This window comes from Homo sapiens, chromosome 3, assembly GCF_000001405.40.
Source record: "Homo sapiens chromosome 3, GRCh38.p14 Primary Assembly".
Lineage (NCBI taxonomy): Eukaryota > Metazoa > Chordata > Mammalia > Primates > Hominidae > Homo > Homo sapiens.
Window position 1 is genome coordinate 53,015,395 of NC_000003.12, and position 20,892 is coordinate 53,036,286.

Below are 20,892 nucleotides of genomic sequence, written 5' to 3' on the forward strand. Positions count from 1 at the left end.
TAAGAGTTACCATAGACCCAGCAATTCCACTCCTAGGTATATACCCAAGAGAAATGAAAACAAATGTTCACACAAAAACTTGTATAGCAATGTTCACAGCAGCATTACTGACAACAGCCAAAATGTACAAACAACCCAAATGTTCATCAACTGATGAGTAGATAAATAAGATGTGACATAGCCATATAGTAGACTATTATCTGGTAATAAAAACAAATGAAATACTGATACACACACAATATGGATGAACTTCAAAAACTTTATGCTAAATTAACACCAGGTCCAAAAGACCACATATTATATGATATCATTTACACAAAATGTCCACCATAGGCAAATCTAGAGAGACAGAAAGTAAATTAGTGGTTGCCTTAGGCTGAAAAAGCAGGGAAAGGGCATAACTGCTAATGGGTACAAGGTTTTTTTTCTGGAATAATGAAAATGTTCTAAAATTAGATTATCATGATGGTTACACTACCCTGTAAATATACTGAAAACCAATGAATTGTATACTTTAAGTAGGTGATTTTCCTCTTATTTTTTAAATAAGAAAAAGCTTACAATTGTTTGCTTCTCATTTTTCTTCTTCACACAGCAAGGCCTGCAGTAGGGAAGACTTATTTCATCAAGAACAGTATACTATGGTTTTTCTTTGATTTAGAATACTGTCTTTCTAGCACCCTACTTTTAGCAGTAAAAGAAAATAAAGTTAGGAATTTCTAACATTTAGAAAATAATCATTAATAAATTAAAGGACAAAGTGAAAAAAAAAAACAAAACCCAGAACTTTAAGCTTACACCTCTAACTCCAAAGCAGGAGGAATTTGCTTGGTCCAGCTCAGCACACCAGACACTACTACACTCTCTGAGCTCTAATAACACTTACCATCATAGTCTTGATCATGGATTGCGGTGCGAACCTCCAGAGATTGCCTCAAGCCAAAGACATGTCAATCTAGCTGAGGTCAGGGTGAACATATATCCAACTTTCAAAGCATACAATCAATGTCCAACCTTCCCAATGTGGTTGTATCAACACACATACCACAAGCGTGAATAACAGCTCCAGTGGCTCTACGTACTCAGTGACAGTGGGTTTTAAAATTCCTGCAAATCTAGTGAGTGTGTAATGACATATCCCCGTGTTTTAATTTGCATCCCCCAATTAAAGTGAGACAATGCCTTTTCTTATGTTTACTGACCACTGGATTCCCTCTTTTGAGAAGTGCCTTCTCAAGTCATTTTCCTACTGGGCTGTCTTCCTTATTTATTGATTTGAAGGAATTCCTCACATATTCTGACAGTTCTATGTGATTATTTATTCTCCCATTCTGTGGCTCATTTTTTCACTCTCTTTATGTCGTCTGTTGATAATGGTTTTAATTTTAATGTAGTCATATTTATCAACCCTTTCCTTTACAGTTAGTGCTTTTTGCCTCTTATTTTAAGAAATTCTTCCCCATTCTGAAACCACAAAGATCTTCGCTTATTGTTTTGCCTTTCACATTGGAAATTTCTATTTTGATTCACATTGGAAAGATCCAATTTCCTTTTTATTTTTCCCATCTGTAAAACTGATTATTGTTAACTAGATTCGTCTCCAGTGTCTAGACTTATATAACCACTAAGAAAAATAGGAACGAATGAGATCCTCCTTTTGTTGAGGATCTACTATGCTACTATGCTGAGTACTTTATATACAGTATACAAATATACAGTAATTCTGCAAAGTACATTATTACTAGTCCCATCTTAAAGAAAATGAAACTAAGGCTAAGAAACACACCCAAGCTGTTAGAAGATAAAGATGGGATCCATGCCTGTCTAATCTAGTGCCCATAATATTTCTGCACACCATACTACTTTAGGTAAGAATGTGATCTCTGGATAAAACAGGAAATATTTTCATTTTGAGGATGTTGCAGTCACTTTACTCTCCAGGTCCACTAGTATAGTGACACTTATTTTTTATTTGGCAGTTCTTTTATTAATTCACTCAACAGGTATTTCTTGAATTCCTACTACCTGCTAGGTACTGTTCCAGGATCCAGGGATGAAATAGTGAGCAAAACAAAATCCCTACCCTCTTGGGGGTTTATAGGCTAATCAGATCAGAAGTGTAGTCTCCCATGTCTATTCTACATTAAGTCTTACACAGTTAGTAAAGGAAACCTTCCTCCAACAGAAGAGTGACAGGACTGCAACATGAAGCACTCTCATGGAACAAGAAGGAACTTAAAGAGCAACTTGGAGAAATACCAGTACTCATATGAAACAACCCCACGAAATAAAGCATCCCATGCCTCTTCCCTTCTCCTGCAGCTTATACCTTCACTCTTCAAAAAAAGCAATATAATTACCTTAACAAAATGAGCATGACTTCTTGTAAACATCTATATACACCTTGTGCTGTTTCTAAACTCTTTTCCTTCTCTATTTAAAAAAGATGCTTTTCAGTGTGTGGCAAGTAACAATAAACTGCTTTTTCATTTCTTTAATACGAACTGGAAGTCTATGCATACTTAGAAAATTGCATACTTAGAAAATTGAAGAATAGGCTGGGCACGGTGGCTCACGCCTGTAATCCCAGCACTTTGAGAAGCCGAGGCGGGTGGATCATGAGGTCAGGAGATCGAGACTATCCTGGCTAACACGGTGAACCCCTGACTCTACTAAAAATACAAAAATTACCTGGGCATGGTGGCACGGGCTTGTAGTCCCAGCTACTTGGGAGGCTGAGGCAGGAGAATCACTTGAACCAGGGGAGGTGGAGGTTGCAGTGAGCCGAGATCGCATCACTGCACTCCAGCCTGGGCGACAGAGCAAGACTCCATCTCGAAAACAAAACAAAAAGAAAAAAAAGAAAAAGAAAATTGAAGAATGCAAGAAGCAGGCAAGAAAAAAAGTTAGTTCTGCAGTACAATATGAAGGCCAAGAACTTCCTTTATTTTCCCACCACCTGCCTGGATCTGTTTTCATCCTTCAGAGAAAGGAAAATCCCTTCCCTGAAGCTCTAGACACCACCCTGTTCCCATATTTACTCTGTAACCTAGAACCTTCAGTTAGACCCCATGTTCTACACCCCTATCTACCATAACAGTCCCATAAGATCAGCACACAAACAGGCTCTCATGTTGCTATCTCAATAGTAAAAGAAAACCCCTTTGTGCCCTCCAAGCACTTCTCCATTTCTCTGCTTCCTCCTCACAGCAAGCCGTCTCATCTCAGAGGCTTGCCTTCATATGGCATTTCCTCATTTCCTCCCCAGTCTGGCTACAGCCTCACCTAACTCACTGGTACTGCTCTTGTCCAGGTCACCAATGACCTTCCAATTGCTAAATCCAATGGTTTGCTCTCTTATCTTACCAGATCCCCTCCATTCTACACAGTAAACTGCCACTTCTCAGAGGATTTTCTTCTCTCAGGTACTGTGACACTACTCTCCTGGTTTTCCTTCTTCCTCTTTAGCCAATCCTGTCTCCTTTGCTGCCTCCTCCAGAATCACAAGCTCTAAAGCTTGGAATTCCTTGGGGTTTGGTGCTGTGTTCTCTTCTTTTTTTCCCATCCACACTGGAATTCTCTTCCTAGGTGATGTCATGCAAACTCATGGCTATAAATATTATCGATACTCATACCTGTAATCCCAGCATTTTGGGAGGCTGAGGTGGAAGTATTGCTTGAGCCCAGGAGCTTGAGACCAGCCTGGACAACACAGTGAGACTTCGTTTCTACAGAAAAAAATTTTTTTAATTAACTGGATGTGGTGGCCTGTATCTGTAGCCCCAGCTACTGGGGAGGCTGAGGTGGGAGGATCACGTGAGTCCAGAAGGTCCAGAGGGCTGCAGTGAGCTATGATTGTATCACTGCACTCCAGCCTGGGCAACAGAGAAAGACCTTGTCTCAAAAAACAAACAAAAAAAAGCACACGCATGTGCATGTGTGTGTGTGAAATCAATGATTAAGAGGACTCAGTCACTGGTGTGTGTGTGTGTGGGGGGGGTATATGTGTGAAATCAATGATTAGGACTCACTCACTGAGCTCCAGACTCACATATCCAACTACTCATTTGGAATTTCCATTTTAATGTTACATGGGCAACCAAAACTTTTTCCTTCTCAACCCAACTCTCCCCAGGTTTCCCCATCTCAATATTACAGGACCAACCTAGTCAAAAACTTAGAAACCACTGTTGATGGCTTCCTCATCCTCACCCTGTCCATGAGCAAGTCCTATTGAGTCTAGCCACCATGAATTTTGAAATCAAACACTTCTCTCCATTTTTCACTGTCATCATCCTAGTCCATGCCACCTAGACTATTGCAGCGACCTCCAAACTGTCTCCCTTTCCGCATTTGGAAGTCCATTCTCCATAGAGCATACAGGCATTTTTTAAAACACAAAGCAAATCATGACACAAACCTACTTAAAACCTTTCAGTAACTGACTAAATAGTAAAATCAAAACTCCTTACTGGGATATACGAGGCCCTGCAAGATCTGGTGTCCCCACTTACCACTTCGGCTTCTTTCCATTCACACTCCCACTGTTGGTTCCTAGTTCACCACAGACTCCAATCTCAGGGCCTCTGCAGGTGCTCTACCCCTCACCCAGCCTTCTCTACACGTGACTGCTTCTTGCCTTCCACAGCTTAGTCTAAAACCAGTACATAAAGATTTTTTTTTTTCTTGCCGTGGCCAGTGAGTACCAAGAAAAAAAAAAGTAGGCCGGGCGTGATGTAATCCCAGCACTTTGGGAGGCCGAGGCAGGCGGATCACCTAAGGTCAGGAGTTCAAGACCAGTCTGGCCAACATGGTGAAACCCCGTCTCTACTAAAAACACAAAAATTGGCCAGGCATGGTGGTGCATGCCTGTAATCCCAGCTACTCAGGAGGCTGAGACAGGGGAAATCGCTTGAACCTGGGAGGCGGAGGTTGCAGCGAGCCAAGATCACACCACTGCACTCCCGCCTGGGTGACAGAATGAGACTCCATCTCAAAACAAACAAACAAAGAAAAAACAAAAATAAAGAAAAAGAAAAAAAGGAAAAAAGAGACTTTTCACTCTATTGAACACATCCCCATCTTATTTTCTAATACATCAGTCAGATTTCCTGCTAGCATTTATCACAATTACTAGATTTTACTTATTTCCTTACTGGTTTATTATCTCCCTACCTTCCTGCAATACAAGCTGTTGTCTTTTTTGGGTAGTATATTAAAGCCGATACATGTTTGTAGAATGAATGGCAGAAAAACAAGTCGAGGATGGAAGAAGGAGGGAGAAGGGGAAACCAAGAACAGAGAACACATTTCCAATCTATACCCAGGCTTCCACCCAGAGTTTTGTAATACAGGTTTTTCCATACTAAGTAAAAGTAGAGGCCGGGTACGGTGGTTCACGCCTGTCATCCCAGCACTTTGGGAGGCTTAGGCGGGCGGATCACCTGAGGTCAGGAGGTTGAGACCAGCCTGGCCAACATGGAGAAACCTTGTCTCTACTAAAAATACAAAAAATTAGCCAGGCATGGTGGTGCGTCCCTGTAATCCTAGCTACATGAGAGGCCGAGGCAGGAGAATTGCTTGAACCCAGGAAGCAGAGGTTGCAGTGAGCTGAGATCGCGCCACTGCACTCCAGCCTGGGCAACAAGAGTGAGACTCCGTCTCAAAAAAAGAAAAAAGAAAGTAGAGGTCCCCTATTGGCTACGTTGAGCCTAACAGTGATATATAATAAACTTAATCTATTCGTAAAGGACATCTCTAACAACAATCTTTTTTACACTCAGTACATTTCTAACGAAAGACCAAATTCAATTATCACTTCTCTACAACTAGTCTTGGGAGTAACTAGTATGTACCTAAATTTGCTGAAGTAAATCTGGAGACAATTTTGCTTAAAACCTGATGTCAAGGAGTGGAAAAGGTAATATGAAACTCAAATGCTTTATGCCTACCCTCATTAGAAAATGTCTCTAGGAAAGCAAAATGTTAAAGCTGGGTGATGTGTAAACTGGGGATGTATTATATTATCTCTACTTCTGTGTTATGTTTAAATTTTTCCATAATAAAGAGTTAAATAAATAAAAGTAAATGCCTCTATGAAGTCAAAAGACAACAAGTATCCATGGGTCACAGACATACTCCTGGCTCAAGTGCACTCTGTTGCCATTTGGAGATTTAATTTAAATCAGTTGATGGTTGCTAACAGTGTCTCCATAAGTCTTATGACCTAAGGCCTTCATCAGGGCCTTTTTGGGAGAATCGGAAGACACAAGGAAGCAGGAGTCCCCTTTCACCTGCTCTGTGTCACAGCCTTCCAGCCCCAGCACCACCAACCCAGCCCCTTTCTATGGGAGTTTCCAATAACCACAGCTCAAAAACAGCAACCGCAGGGAGAAATAAAATCATTTACAAGGGGAAAAGAGAAAAAGCACGCAGAAGGGGAAAATATTAATACATTATTTTTGCTTAAATTCAAACCAACCATTTTCCCCTAGAATTCTGATGAGGTAATATTTCTTCTAAAGCAGCACTTCAAATTCAGGAAGGGATTCATAGAAGACTAAATGCAAAAAGAGCAGAGGCCAGCAACCCCACCCAATAAAGTTTCTTCTCTCAAAGATTCCTCACCGCTCTCTAGAATTCGTCTATGGCATTAAATAAAAAGTGGTTAAGAGGTGAAAATTAAGGCCTCACTTACTAGGTGAAACAAAGAACAGAAGAATCTAAGCTACTCTAGCAGGTGTTTGTTTTCTACTGTAGAAACAGCCTAGCTGGACTGGGTGCGGTGGTTCACACCTGTAATCCCAGTGATTTGGGAGGCCAAGGTGGGCAGATCACTTGAGCCCAGGAGTTGGAGACCAAACTGGGCAACATGGTGAAACCCCATCTCTAGTAAAAACACAAAAATTAGCTGAACATGGTGGCATGCGCCTGCAGTCCCAGCTACTCGGGAGGCTGAGACAGGAGAACTGCTTGGGCCCAGGAGGTAGACGCTGCAGTCAGCCATGATCACACCACTGCACTCCAGCCTGGGCGACAGGGTGAGGTGCTGTCTCAAAAAAAAAAAAAAAAAAAAAAAGCAAACATAAGACCCTGTTTCTATAAAAAACAAACAAACAAATAAATAAACCAGAATGAAGAAGCAAAATACACTATAGACATACAGTGGAATATTATTCAGTCTTTAAAATGAAGGCGATTCTGACACGTGTTACAATGTGGATGAACCTGGATGATACTATGCTAAGTGAAATAAGCCAGTCAGTCACAAAAAGACAAATACATGACTCCACTTCTATGAGGTACCTAAAGTAGTAAATTTCATAGAACTGAAAAACAGAATGCTGGTTACCTGGAGCGGGGTGGAGCGGGAAATGGGAAGTTATTATTTAATGTGTATGGAGTTTAAGTTTTACAAGATGAAAAGAGTGATGGAGACGGACTGTGGTAATGGTTGCACAACACTATGAACATAGTCATACCACTGAACTGTATACTTAAAAGCAGTTAAGATGGTAAGCTTTATGAATGCATTTAATACCACTAAACTATACACTTAAAAATGGTTAAGATGCTAAATTTTATTTTGCCACAATAAAAAATTTAAAAAAGTCATCCCTAATAAATAGCTTATTAATAACTTCATATCATAAATCATGTAGTTACCAAGTATGTTTAGATTTTGGTGTCCTTGTTCATAAAGTGAGAAGAGGAAAAAAAGAGGAGCAACCCGACCTTTAAATGACAGCAGGGTCCTGAGTAACAGATGACTCTAATCAGATCAGGAGAGGTCAATGTGATCCTTTATGTGACAGAGATCTAATCTGGGACATGGTTGGGCCTAAACACAGATTTACTGAACTCAAGGAAATGAACACTTAATCACACTAAGAGATCAGGGCCACAGTGAAGATATGTTTCCTGTCTTGTTCCATTTCTAGAGGCTGAGTTCAGTTTTGTGGTTCAACACATGGATATGACTAGGCTAAACTGGGATTTAATTCTTAGCTTTCTTATATTTCAGTCATGGTCTAAGATCTCACTCTGTGTTATTATTTGGTGGCACAACCCAAACTACTCAGTTTAATTTGTTCTACATCTAAATTTATCTCCATACATGAATTAAATAAATACCATCTGTGCTGGATAGTGTATGCTGGTACTTAGTCCCACATCTACCCTTCCAGACTCTCCCTGCATCATCAGGCCTGAAATCTACATTTCCAAACCCCCCGTCAGCTGTGCTCCCATTAGGCTCTGGCAGCAGCACTGGCAGGAGTACAGGTTCCTGCTTGGTTGCAGCGAACTCCAGTAGCATCAGTGAGAAATGCGGGTTTGTGGGCTCTGGTTTGTAGGCACCTTCTCCCTTTTGTTCCTACAGCCCTTTCTTTTTGTAAACAATTCCTAGAATTACATCCCTCTTGAATGAAACACCTGGAGTGGTTTCCTGACTAGACACTCGCTAATAGCCCTCCAAATTCAAAATTTATATAACTCATGGGCCAGGGTAGGGAGCTATGCTATGAAATACTCATTCATCCATTCATTCAACAAATTCTTAGTGAGCAACTACTATGGACCAGATGCTGTTCTAGGTACTGCAGATATAGTAGGAAACAACACAGACAAAAATCCTTGTCCTCAAGGAGCTTACATTCTAGTGAAGGAGAGGCAATACTCAGGATAAATAAATAAAACACATAGTGTGTAACACAAGTGCTAAGGAGAAAAAAAATTAATCAGGGGCAGGGATATGAAATGTTGGAGAAGGGTTGAAATTTTAGATACGTCAACTGTCTGCGTGTCACAGTCGGGTGGTGTGCTTGCTTCCAAGTCTGGAGGTGGGTGGTTAGAGCCTGTTCTATGAAATTTTAGATACGCAGGTCACTGAGATGATTTTGGGGGAAAAAACCCCAAAGAGGTAAGGGAGCTAGTTACTCACATAACTGTAGGAAGAGCATTCCAGGCGAGGGAAGATATGTCCAAGAGTCCTAAGGAGGAAGTCTCCTTGGCATGTTCCTATGTGGAACAGAACAGGCAATGGCGAGGATATCTGAGAGATGGGGAGGGCCGGCCATGAGAGCCTTGTTGGCTATGATAAAGGCTTTAGCCACTGCAGTAAATTCTGAGCAGAGTAACATCATCTGACTCACTTGCTAACAGGGTCGTTGTGTGTCAACAACAGACTGCAAGGGGCAAAGGGAGAAGTAACAGGGAAGACAGCTAAGAGGCTCCCGAAATAATCCAAGTCAAACTGAATGATCGCTGGGACCAATGTGCTAGCACTACTTAGAGGGTGCTAAGCAAATTCTGAATATATTTTGAACTCCCATCTGGGCCTTAAAAAGTCAGGGGCCGGTCCAACAATCTCGCTGGAAATCATACAACAGAAACTTCGAAGGGACTCCTACCAGGTGTAAGAATATAACGAATATTATAGAATTATTTAATTATCTTTGTCTAAAGCCATTATATTGTTTATGTTTTGATATTTAACCAAATATAAGAATATAAAGGCTTTGGCCATTATATATAAGAATATAAAGTATACAATGACTTTAGCCAAAAATAAATAATTGCAAATTAACATTCTCCAATAGTTATTATAGGGGAAAACTAATTTATAACATGCCAGGTTATAAAACTTTTAATATTTTTATATAAGTATTATAGAAACAGTACAGAAATATGTAAGTACCTATTAATCCAGTTTTTATTAAACTGGTCAAGTTACAGAAAAAACATGACCTTCTTAACTGTATTTTCAAGAGGATAATTATCAAAATGTAAATTTTCTAGACAGCCAATGAAGAAAGAAATTTAGAACTAGAAAAAATCTGGGAGTCCCATTCCCTTCATTTTTGGACTAAGGTAACAAAGCCCAGATATATAAATGAAGCCTGGTCATTCTTCAAGCATCAAAACATATTTCAGGCTGGGTGCAGTGGCTCACGCCTGTATCCTAACACTTTGGGAGGCTGAGGTGGAGGGATCACTTTAATTCAGGAATTTGAGACCAGCCTGGGCAATGTTGGGAGACTTTGTCTCTACAAAAAATTTTAAAAATTTAAAAATTAGCCAGGCATGGTGGCACACGCTTATGGTCCCAGCTACTTGGGAAGCTGAGGTGAGAGGTCACTTGCGCCCAGGAGGTAGATGATTCAGTGAGCCATGATTGTGCCACTGCACTCCAGCCTGGGTGACAGAGTGAACCCCGTCTTAAAAAAAGAAAAAAAAAGAAATTCAACACTGTGATGGAAATATTTCTAGAATATATTTTTACTTCCCTATCTTCTTAAAACAGAGACTCCTAAACATACTTCATCTTTGCCTTGGTAACTCTAGCCTCTCTAAAGAGCAACTATACCCAGCCCAGGTGTGATGCTGGACTTTGCTGACTGCTGCCTCCACTATGCAGCCCTAACAATCTCTACTCATCTTGCTCCCAGCTGATGGTGTCTGATCTACACGGAAGGCTGGAAAACAGTTAAGAACCATACATCAGCTTTGGTGCGGGAGCTTTATAACAATTATTGTCAGCACTTGAAAACTGATTTTGCTTTCTCTCAGTGTTGGGCTGTGTTTTGAAGAGCTAATATTGCGTGCAAATGGATGGGTTAAGTGATGTAAGCACATTGCTTCAGAAAAAGTTCTACCCCCAAATGCAACTGATCACTTTACAGAAAGTGTAGTTTTAAATTATTAAAAGCAAAATTAATTATCTGAAAAAATATTAACACCATAAACATCACTACATGAAAACACAAACTGCCACAGTAATGCTTATGTCTCAAGTAACAGCTTACAAGTATCAACAGTAAAGTAATAAGCTGTAATAAAAAGGCACTTCATCTCTTCAAAACCTGCTATCCCACCAAAATTCTCCAGTAAGTTAACATGAACTAAATTTTTGGTCCCTTTCCTAGCATTCTACCAAAATCAGTTTAATTTTTAAAATAATAAAAATATTTTATTGTACTAGAAAGGAAAGATTCTAAAAACACACAAAACCATAAGTCAAGACAGCAAACGACTCACACGTAGCCACTCAGTGAGGACAGTAAGTCTTCCTTAGCAATTAAAGAGCAAATAGAGGAACTCAACAGAGAATACAAAGTAAAAAGGCTGAGGCCCTTTAAGGATAGCTGGAATTCCTACCAAGCTGCATGTTCATGGCCACAAGTTAACAGAGTTTACCCTCCCTCCCTGTGCCCCCACAGCTGCTCACTGCAGTTACAGGTAGGTCCCTGTGGGGCTGCCTACAGTCCTAGATATAACAGCCCAGAGATCTGTGTGGTTGGTTCTTAGCCGCACTCTCAAAAAGGAAGAGCTGGCAAGAACCTCAACAAAATTAAATAATAGCTTAAGAAGGAGGCAGCGCTAAAGATAAAGGTTTGAGAAGGGATTTTTTTTCTTCCTTTAGAGACAGGGTTTTGCCCTGTCCCTGGAGAGGCTGGAGTAAGATGGTGCAATCACGGCTTACTGCAGCCTCGACCTCCTGGGTTCAGCCTCCCAAGTAGCTAAGACTACACAATCGTGCCACCGCACCTGGCTAATTTTTCAATTTTTTGTAGAGATGGGGTCTCGCTAGGTTGCCCAGGCTGGTCTCAAACTCCTCGTCTCAACTAATCCTCCCTCCTTGGCCTCCCAAAGTGCTAGGATTATAGGCATGACCCACCATGCCCAACAGGGAAGGGAATTCAAAAGAAAATTTCAGGGTTACTTTCTTATTTTACACTAGATGTTTCCTCTATTAAGACCTGAAATTTTTAGCTTATTAAAAATTCTTACACTAATAATACAATATAGAAGTATTCACAAATCACTAACTCACTGCCATTTACTCCTACAAAAAATCCTTTCTCAAAACAAAACTCTACAAATGTTAGCCCATTCCCCCACCCCCGTTAAAACACCTTCCATAGTAGACGCTTTACACTTTTTTGACAACACTTAAACACAAGTTCTGTATCATTTCCTATCCTGATTATAAGCTTCTCTAGGCCAGGGAACTTACTCAATTTTGCATTCCCTAAACCCCTGGCACCACTGCTTCATGTCACAGCTACTTAGTGTCTGCTAAATGAATTACTATGGTATCAGATCATGGCACCTCCAGTTCACTAATGAGAAAATTCAACTTTTTAACACAGCAATAACATTTCTGCCTCCAGGAATACTGTCATTTTCACAGGAGAAGGAAATTCAGTGATTCAGTGCCTACCATCTGCCCCAGAGGTCAGCTATTTCTGACAAGTCCTAGTGTGCACATGGGCCAATCAGGCTGCAGCTGCCTTTTTTCACAGGCATGGATGGAAGAATGAGAAAGGTCACTAAAGCAGAGTCCGTATGTAAATTCGTTAGGCATCATCCACAGGAAATTTGCTTCCTCTTAAAATCCTGTGAAATTAAAACATGCCTTTAAGCCATTGTTTCTTCCCCCTGTTCTTTAACCCATTTATGCTGGAGGTTGCAAATTTTTTTGTGTGAAAACTCAGACCTTGGTGATGACCTTGAGCACTATGATATAAATAACTCCCACAAGCTTAGCGTTCCAGTAATGGAACAGTAGGCATAAATGGGTTAAACTTTGGATAGTCCAACTTGCCAGGTTACCCCATTGTTTACAAAGCCTTTCACAGTACAAAAAACTTGATTAACCCTAATTGCCTGCTGACGTCTACGGTTGTTTCTTTTTCTCAGACCACTCTTTTTGAGACAGGGTCTTGCTCTGTCATCCAGGGTGGAGTGCAGTGGCTCGAACACAGCTCACTTGGAGGCAGATTCAAGTGATCTTCCTGCCTCAACCACCTGAGTAGCTGAGACTACAGGTGCACACCACCACACTCAACTAATTTTTGTATTTTTTGTAGAGACAGGGTTTTGTCATGTTGCCCATGCTGGTCTCGAACTCCTGGGCTCAAGCAATCCACCTGCCTTGGCCTCCCAAAATGCTGGGATTACAGGCATGAGCCACCATGCCTCGCTTTCAGACCACTTCTTGAAGTCACCTTAGTTCCATAAAACTTGTGTGTTGACATACAGTGTGATACTGTTTCTTTGCCACAAATTCAACTCTACAAGTCACATCTCTTTGTCTGCCTTCATGGGTCAAAACTACTTACTAGCTGGGCATGGTGGCACATGCTTGTACCACTAGTCCCAGCTACTCGGGAGGCTGAGATGGGAAAACAGCTTGAGTCCAGGAGTTGGAGGCTGTAATGTGCTATCATGATCATACCTGTGTATGGTCACTGCATTCCAGTCTGGGTGACATAGCAAGACCCCATCTTAAAAAAAAATTACCTGCTAGAACACAGAATAAATGGCAGAAAGAAGGCCATAGCAGAGCAAACACAACTCAGAAACGCCCAGTCTAGCACTCGTGGCTGGGAACCCTTGCAGGGAAGTGCACAAGTACTCTCAGAGGGGACCTGCCTGCCTGTCACTGGCTTGGTGTGAACACTCTCTGAGCAAGTCACAAGAGTTATGGGCTAGGCCGGGCGCGGTAGCTCATGCCTATAATCCCAGCACTTTGGGAGGCCAAGACAGGCAGATCACAAGGTCAGGAGCTTGAGAAGATCCTGACTAACACGGTGAAACCCCGTCTCTTCTAAAAATACAAAAAAATTAGCCAGGCATGGTGGCGGGCGCCTGTAGTCCCAGCTACTCGGGAGGCTGAGGCAGGAGAATGGCATGAACCCGGGAGGCGGAGCTTGCAGTGAGCCGAGATGCACCACTGCACTCCAGCCTGGGCGACAGAGCGAGACTCCGTCTCAAAAAAAAAAAAAAAAAAAAAAAGTCATGGGCTAGAAATGTACTACCATGGGGGAGAAAAAGAATAGACTACCACAAATTGTCACACTTTTTAGGAAAATATTTTACAGAAAATGGCAGTATGCAGAGCGTTATTGAAGGGTTATAAATATATTCTCTGAGGGGTATTCTGAAGTTCTTTTAATGAAGGATAATAACTAAGAGCTTGGGCTACAAAGGCATATACAACACTGTAAGATTCAACTACAGAATGCTTCAAGATTCCAAACTCAGTTTCTTTAGAAATTCTGCGCCAGAACAGGAGCAGCATTTTTAAAATTCCTTACCAAGTAGCCCAGGTAAAAACCAACTTTTAAAAACTTAGCTATATTTCTGCCAATGTACAAAAGAATACCACCCAAATACAGAAATTGATACAATTTGTTAATCCTTGCTGCTGCAATTTTCTCAAAACGAAAATACAAAAGCAAAGTATCTGAATTCATAACAAGCAGCATACATTCAGGCCTTAGGCTTCAAAAGCATGGTCAACACCTCAGTAGTCTGAAGACATCTTCAGATGCTTTAGTCTCCCAAGACTCAGCTGGGGATTCTGCCTATGCCATCCCCTCTGCAACATGTGGTGGGTGGAGGGTGGGGAGAATGGGGGTGGTAGAAGGCCTCTCCACGACTCTCTACCTCCAACTCCTCTTACTCCACTGCACCCAGTTCCTCTACCCTTGGCATCTTGGGGGCAGGGAGGCTGGAGAACAGTCTACCCCCACAAATACACTAACTTAGAAAAAAAAACACTTTTAAGTGTTTAGTATTAGAAATACTAACTTAGAAAAAAAAACCAGTTTAAATATTAGAAAACTTTTCTTAATCCAAGCAAATTCAATTATCATTAGTCTATGGTACTGTTTGCAGCAGCAAAAAAAAACCCAAAATATAAATAAATATGGAAACAAATAAATATGGTGCATCCATGCAATAAACTACTAGGCAACCATTAAAAGAATGCAGCAGATCTATGTGTACTTGGATATATCCAAGATATTTTCAGTGAAAAGAGCGAAGTGCAAAACAATGTCTAAAATATATCACCATTTGAGTTTTTTTAATATGGATGCGGAAATATATGATTTACACACATAGAATGTTTCTATAAAAATACAAAAGAAACTGGGAATAATAGTGGCCTACAGAAGGGACTGAGGAACTAGGGGTTTCAGTAAAAAGGAATACACTCTTTTTTGATATTCAAAAAAAAATTTTACTATGTATGTGTATCCCTGTTTAAAATGTTTTAAAGGCGTACTTAAGTCTGTGATGATGATTTTAAAAAATAAAGCAACAGAAGAAAAAGTAATGCCTATTAAAAGCAATCTCATTTTTCTTAACTATTTCTAAAGTCTTTGTGGCACAATTTGAATTCAGTAAAACAGGGGAGACTGGAGGGATTGGGAGTTTGGAGAGGTCCCTTTCACCCTCCTCCTTTAAAATTACAGTAACTTTCAACTGGCCATAATGCAAAAAAAAAAAAAAAAAAAAAAATCTACTTGCTTCTCCAACAAAAATATTTGGCTCCATTGTAACCAACATTTAAAAGATACAAATACATTAGCAAGTCTGTGACTAAAGTTCAATTACATTTTATATGCTAATATGAAATGCTAATCATATTTTTTATGAGTCAACAGTTTTACATAAGATTATTTTGTTTCTAAACTAACAACTTTAGAATTACTGAAGCATCCAAATTACCTAAACTCACTCCAGTCAAGCATCAGTTCAGTAAAAAACTAAAGGGTTTTCCCCCATAGCTTCAAAATTCCCAATCTTCTCCATTTCCAAGCATGATGCGGGGCAGGGGCAAGGGAGATGGCAGGCAAAGCCTAAGCCTGTCCAACCCTCTTCAGACTCTGTAGATGGCTCCTCCTGGTTTCAGGGATCCCAACTCCTCATATAGATACAGCCATCATCAGCAATCCCACATTAAGTGCATTGATTCCATTAACAACAGTGGGAGGCAAGTGGCTCCACTGGCTTGGATTCTGAAGCTCAACCTGTGGCCCATGCACCTGCGAATAACAACAGGCTCTCTCATCAGTCACACAGGGCAAAGGAAGTGGAGCTGCCCCACCCCACACCCACACAGAACCAGACTGCTGATTGCCTCTTTGTAACTACTGCCACAAAAAGTAAAGCAAATGCCCTGCAATTGGATTTTTACTAATGGAAATGCATTTGTCGAGAATCCAAAGATGCTCAGTTATCTCGGAAAAAAAGTTATAACATGATCTTCAAAAATGAAGATGAGGAAAGGCATTTTGCCAACTTAAAACATTCATCAAAATAGATATTTAAAGCAGCAAAATATGACAAAATACTAGTTTCTCATTTTTTAAAAACCTGAACATTCAGAACTAAAACTATAACACTGTAAAAAAAAAAAAGTGTCCAGGGATAGGAAAAAAATATTTCTTAATCATGTATAAATTGGTTATTTATTCATACCTCCATTTACATACACATATTTGCCAGGTGCTCAGTACCAGGATGCCATGGTGATTAAAAGACAGACACAGTCCCTACCTTCAGAGCTTACAATAGTAAATGAACACAAGGAATAATGCATTGGTGTATAGTTTATCTCTCCCACAAGGGACAATTAGGAAAAACATCCTGGGAGTAGGTTCACAGGTTTTAATATTCTCTATAGAGTGGCTTTAAAGCATTTTATGATAAATTAAAATTAAAATATTAAAATGAGCTAAAAATAGAATATTTCTTATAGTGAAAAGTGTCACTAAGAAAATCAATGGTGAGAAAAAAGTGCCTCTGGAATGGAGGTAAGGATGTCTAGGGAAGGCTTTGCTGAGCTGAACCCTCCATGATCAAAAGGAACTAAATGTAACAAACTTGATGTCCAGCCAGCTGGATACAATGGCTCATGCCTGTAATCCCAGCACTTTCAGAGCCCAAGGCGAGTGGAATGTTTGAGGTCAGGGGTTCAAGACCAGCCTGGACAACATGGCAAAACCCTATCTCTACTAAAAATATAAAAGGTAGCTGAGCATGGTGGTACATGCCTATGGTTCCAGCTACTTGGGAGGCTGATGTGGGAGGATCTCTTGAGCCCAGGAGGCGGAGGCTGCAGTGAGCCGGGATCACACCCCTGCACTCCAGCCTGGGTGACAGAGCGAGACCCTGTCTCAGAAAAATAAAAATAAATAAAAATTGATATCCTTGGGATGGACAGAAGACCCATATGGGAAAGCAAGTGGAAAAGTGGTAGAGGTGGGCAGGGAACAAGAAACAAAGTATTGTAGGCCACACAAGAAGTTTGGATTTTATTCTAATTACGATGGAAAGCCACTGGCAGCCTCTAAGCCTGGAAATGACAAGATGAGATCTCATTAAACATAATCATTTCTTGTTTAGAACATAATACATTTTCAAATAGGAATAACATTATAAGTGGATATGTTGCAGTATTGCTTCCATGCATTCATTCAGCTATAATTTATTTAGTGTCTACTCTGTGCTAGGTTGTGTGCAAGGTACTAACTAGGAATAAAACAGCATCTCTGACCTTGAGTTCACAGTTTAGTAGAGATGAGAAACACTGAACAAACAATCACAATTGTAATATTTACAACAGTGGAATATGTGGAATGCTGTGAGTGCCCAGAGCAAAGGGTGGTTAATGCAACCTGAGGGAGTCCAGGAGGGAAGGCTTCACAGAAGCCCTGGGCCTTAAAGGACAAACAGGGATTTCTTTAGCAGAACATTCCCCCCACACCTAAGCCTCTGATAGAATACAAGAAAATTTGGGGCCTACCAAAGACTCTGCCTTTTGAAGTATTTATGGGCCAGGTGCAAGAGCTCATGCCTATAATCCCAGTGCTCTGGGAAGCTGAGGTAGGAGGATCGTTTGAGGCCAGGAGTTTGAGACCAGCCTGGGCAACAGAGCAAGACCCTGCTTCTACAAAATTTTTTAATAAAATTTGCTTTTTTTTTTTTGAGATGGAGTCTTGCTCTGTCGCCCAGGCTGGAGTGCAGTGGCGCAATCTCGGCTCACTGCAGTCTCCGCCTCCCAGGTTCCGGCAATTCTCCTGCCTCAGCCTCCCAAGTAGCTGGGATTACAGGCACACATCACCACGCCCAGCTAACTTTTGTATTTTTAGTAGAGACGGGGTTTCACCATGTTGGCCAGGCTGGTCTCAAATGCCTGACCTCAAGTGATCCACCCGCCTCGGCCTCCCAAAGTGCTGGGACTGCAGGTGTGAGCCGCCGCGCCCGGCCCAACATTTTTTTAATACTAACTTTTTTTGCAGCCATTTTTACCCCCCTCAACTACAAGCTTTTATCAAAATTTTGAAAGAGATTTTGAAAAAATTCCAAATACTCTCTACTTAGATTCAAAAATTTTAAATTTCCTAATTATCTTTCTATATACACAAAGATTTATACACACACACGTATTTTATGAGCCATCTGAAAATGCTGAGGATATCATACCTCACCCTCTAAACTCTTCAGCTTGCATCTCCCAAGAATAAGCACATTCTCCTTTATGTATAACTACAATGCCATTATCACACCAAAAAAGACAAAAAAAAAAAAAAAATCACCCTGGCGCAGTGGCTCACGCCTGTAATCCCAGCAGTTTGAGAGGCCAAGGCAGGCGGGTCACCTGAGGTCAGGAGCTCGAGACCAGCCTGATCAACATGGAGAAACCCTGTCTCTACTAAAAATAAAAAAATTAGCGGGGTGTGGTGGCGCATGCCTGTAATCCCAGCTACTTGGGAGGCTGAGGCAGGAGAACTGCTTGAACCCAGGAGGCGGAGGTTGCGGTGAGCCGAGATGGCGCCATTGCACTCCAGCCTGGGCAACAAGAGCAAAACTCTGTCTCCAAAAAAAAAAAAAAAAAAAAAAAAATCAACAATTCCTTAATATCATCTATTATCAGGTACTTCTTTTTAAATACAAAGGACTTTGTTGAAATTTTATTGAAGGAATGTGTTTTAATAAACTGGTTAGATTTATTACTTGCATTGCATTTTGACATTTTTAAAATGTAATAATACTTTATAAAATTTAAGTTAAGGAATCTTTCCTTGGCAAGATTCATCACTGGCACGGGCATGGTAGCTCATGCGTATAATCCCAACACTGTGGGAGGCCCAGGCGGGCAGATCACTTGAGGTCAGGAGTTTGAGACCAGCCTGACCAACATGGTGAAATCCCATCTCTACTAAAAATACAAAAATTAGCTGGGTGTGGTGGTGCGTGCCTGTCTATAATCCCAGTTGCTCAGGAGGCTGAGGCAGGAGAATCACTTGAACCAGGAGGCGGAGGTTGCAGTGAGCCAAGATCGCACCACTGTACTCCAGCCTGGGTGACAACAGTCTGTTTCAAAAAATAAATAAATTAATTAATTAAAAATAAATTTAAAAAATAAATAAAAATTAAAAACATATTAAAAGAATAATTGTGGGCCAGGCATAGTGGCTCATGCCTATAAACCCAGCATTTTGGGAGGCTGAGGCGGGCAGATCACTTGAGATCACGAGTTCGAGACCAGCTTGGCCAACACGGAGAAACCCCCATCGCTACTAAAAATATAAAAAATTAGCCAGGCGTGGTGGCACGTGCCTGTAATCCCAGCTACTTGGGAGGCTGAGGCAGGAAAACTGCTTGAACCCTGGAGGCAGAGGCTGCAATGAGCCAAGATCGAGCCACTGCACTCCAGTCTGGGCGACAGAGCGAGACTCTGTCTCAAAATAATGATAATAATAATTTTGGTAATCAAATATACCAAAAAGTGTGACAGCGGTCCATGTGAGACTGACATTTTGGGAGCACTGCCTTAGCAGAACAACACCCTAAGCGGATGGAACATGGCAGGAAAGGATTTACAGGAGAGTGGGTTGGTGAGGCTGCAGAGGCCATGAGAGAAGGGAATAAGCTGGACAAATGGACTGGGCCTGAGTGCTTCAAGGATTCCGCATGCCTTCCTGAGGAGTTTGGACTTTACCCGGCCAAATGTGGGATTTTATGTGACTAAAATCAAGTTTGTTTAGAAAGCTCTACTTGGCCTCAGTGCTTCAAGGATTCCGCATGCCTTCCTGAGGAGTTTGGACTTTACCCGGCCAAATGTGGGATTTTATGTGACTAAAATCAAGTTTGTTTAGAAAGCTCTACTTGGCCTCAGTGTAGCTGGATGGATGGGAGAGGTGGGGAAGGTAGGGAGACCATTTGGAAGCAACAGAACAAGGTTTGTATTTTTCACTGCTAATATGTAACATTTTAGTTTTATGGGTTGAATAAGCCTACTACATTGATAAATGAACAAAACAAAAACAGTAAAACTAAACAAAGTTTATCTTGAAAATGTTCATGTTGGTAGAATAGCAACTTTCAAAAGAGTCAGCAGAGACTTAAGTAAATTTTTTTTAAATGGAGTCTCACTCTGTTGCCCAGGCTGGAGTGCAGTGGTGCCATCTCATCTCACTGAAACCCCCACTTGCCAGGTTCAAGTGATTCTCCTGCCTCAGCCTCCCCAGTAGCTGGGATTACAGGCACATGTCACCACGCCCAGCTAATTTTTTATTAAAATTGATGGGGTTTCACTATTTTGGCCAGGCTGGTCTCAAACTCCTGGCCTCAAGTGATCCGCCCACCTCAGCCTCCCAAAATACTGGGATTACAGGCGTGAGCAACCGCACCCGGCCAGAGACGTAAGTAAATTTTGAAAGGAGCCCTTCAGCATTTTTGACAGTCTCAGCATTTGATGAAGCTCTTTTTAATATCTAGTTTCACTTTCCAAGGTGTCTTTCCTTTTCCTTGGCAAGGTTCATCACTGGCACTAGTTTTACATTTATCAGTCACAATCAAAATTTAAATTTCCAAAGGAAGGAAGTGGGGTACAGAATAGATAAAATGGTTTAAAACATAGAGCATGCCCTCAAAGCAGTGCTGACAGCAACTCTGAGGAGCTCCATTTATGCAGAATCCACTGGGAAGGCTGCCCCAAGAGCCAGCCGCCAGTCCTGCCTGGGAGGAGAGGGAAGCAGAGAATGTCCAGCTATCCTGCCGTGGGACAGGATGCTGGCCCTTCACCCCTAC

At 41.2% G+C, this 20,892-nt stretch overlaps 1 protein-coding gene across 1 annotated transcript in view, besides 2 other annotated features; it reads right to left on the bottom strand.

Annotated features, from left to right (window-relative positions):
* Positions 1–20,892, bottom strand: part of SFMBT1 (Scm like with four mbt domains 1) — a 142,502-nt gene that overhangs the window by 111,823 nt on the left and 9,787 nt on the right. The gene's annotated exons all lie outside the window — the stretch shown is intronic.
* Positions 3,147–3,196: an enhancer, noted in NCBI's record as "active region_19949". NCBI's record gives its function as "activates an Ori minimal core promoter by ATAC-STARR-seq in GM12878 lymphoblastoid cells {active_cell/tissue: GM12878}" and the evidence as "EXISTENCE:reporter gene assay evidence [ECO:0000049][PMID:35858748]".
* Positions 15,473–16,007: an enhancer, noted in NCBI's record as "OCT4-NANOG hESC enhancer chr3:53064883-53065417 (GRCh37/hg19 assembly coordinates)". NCBI's record gives its function as "activates a minimal SCP1, AML or CMV promoter by ChIP-STARR-seq in naive H9 embryonic stem cells {active_cell/tissue: H9 hESC(naive)}" and the evidence as "EXISTENCE:reporter gene assay evidence [ECO:0000049][PMID:30033119]".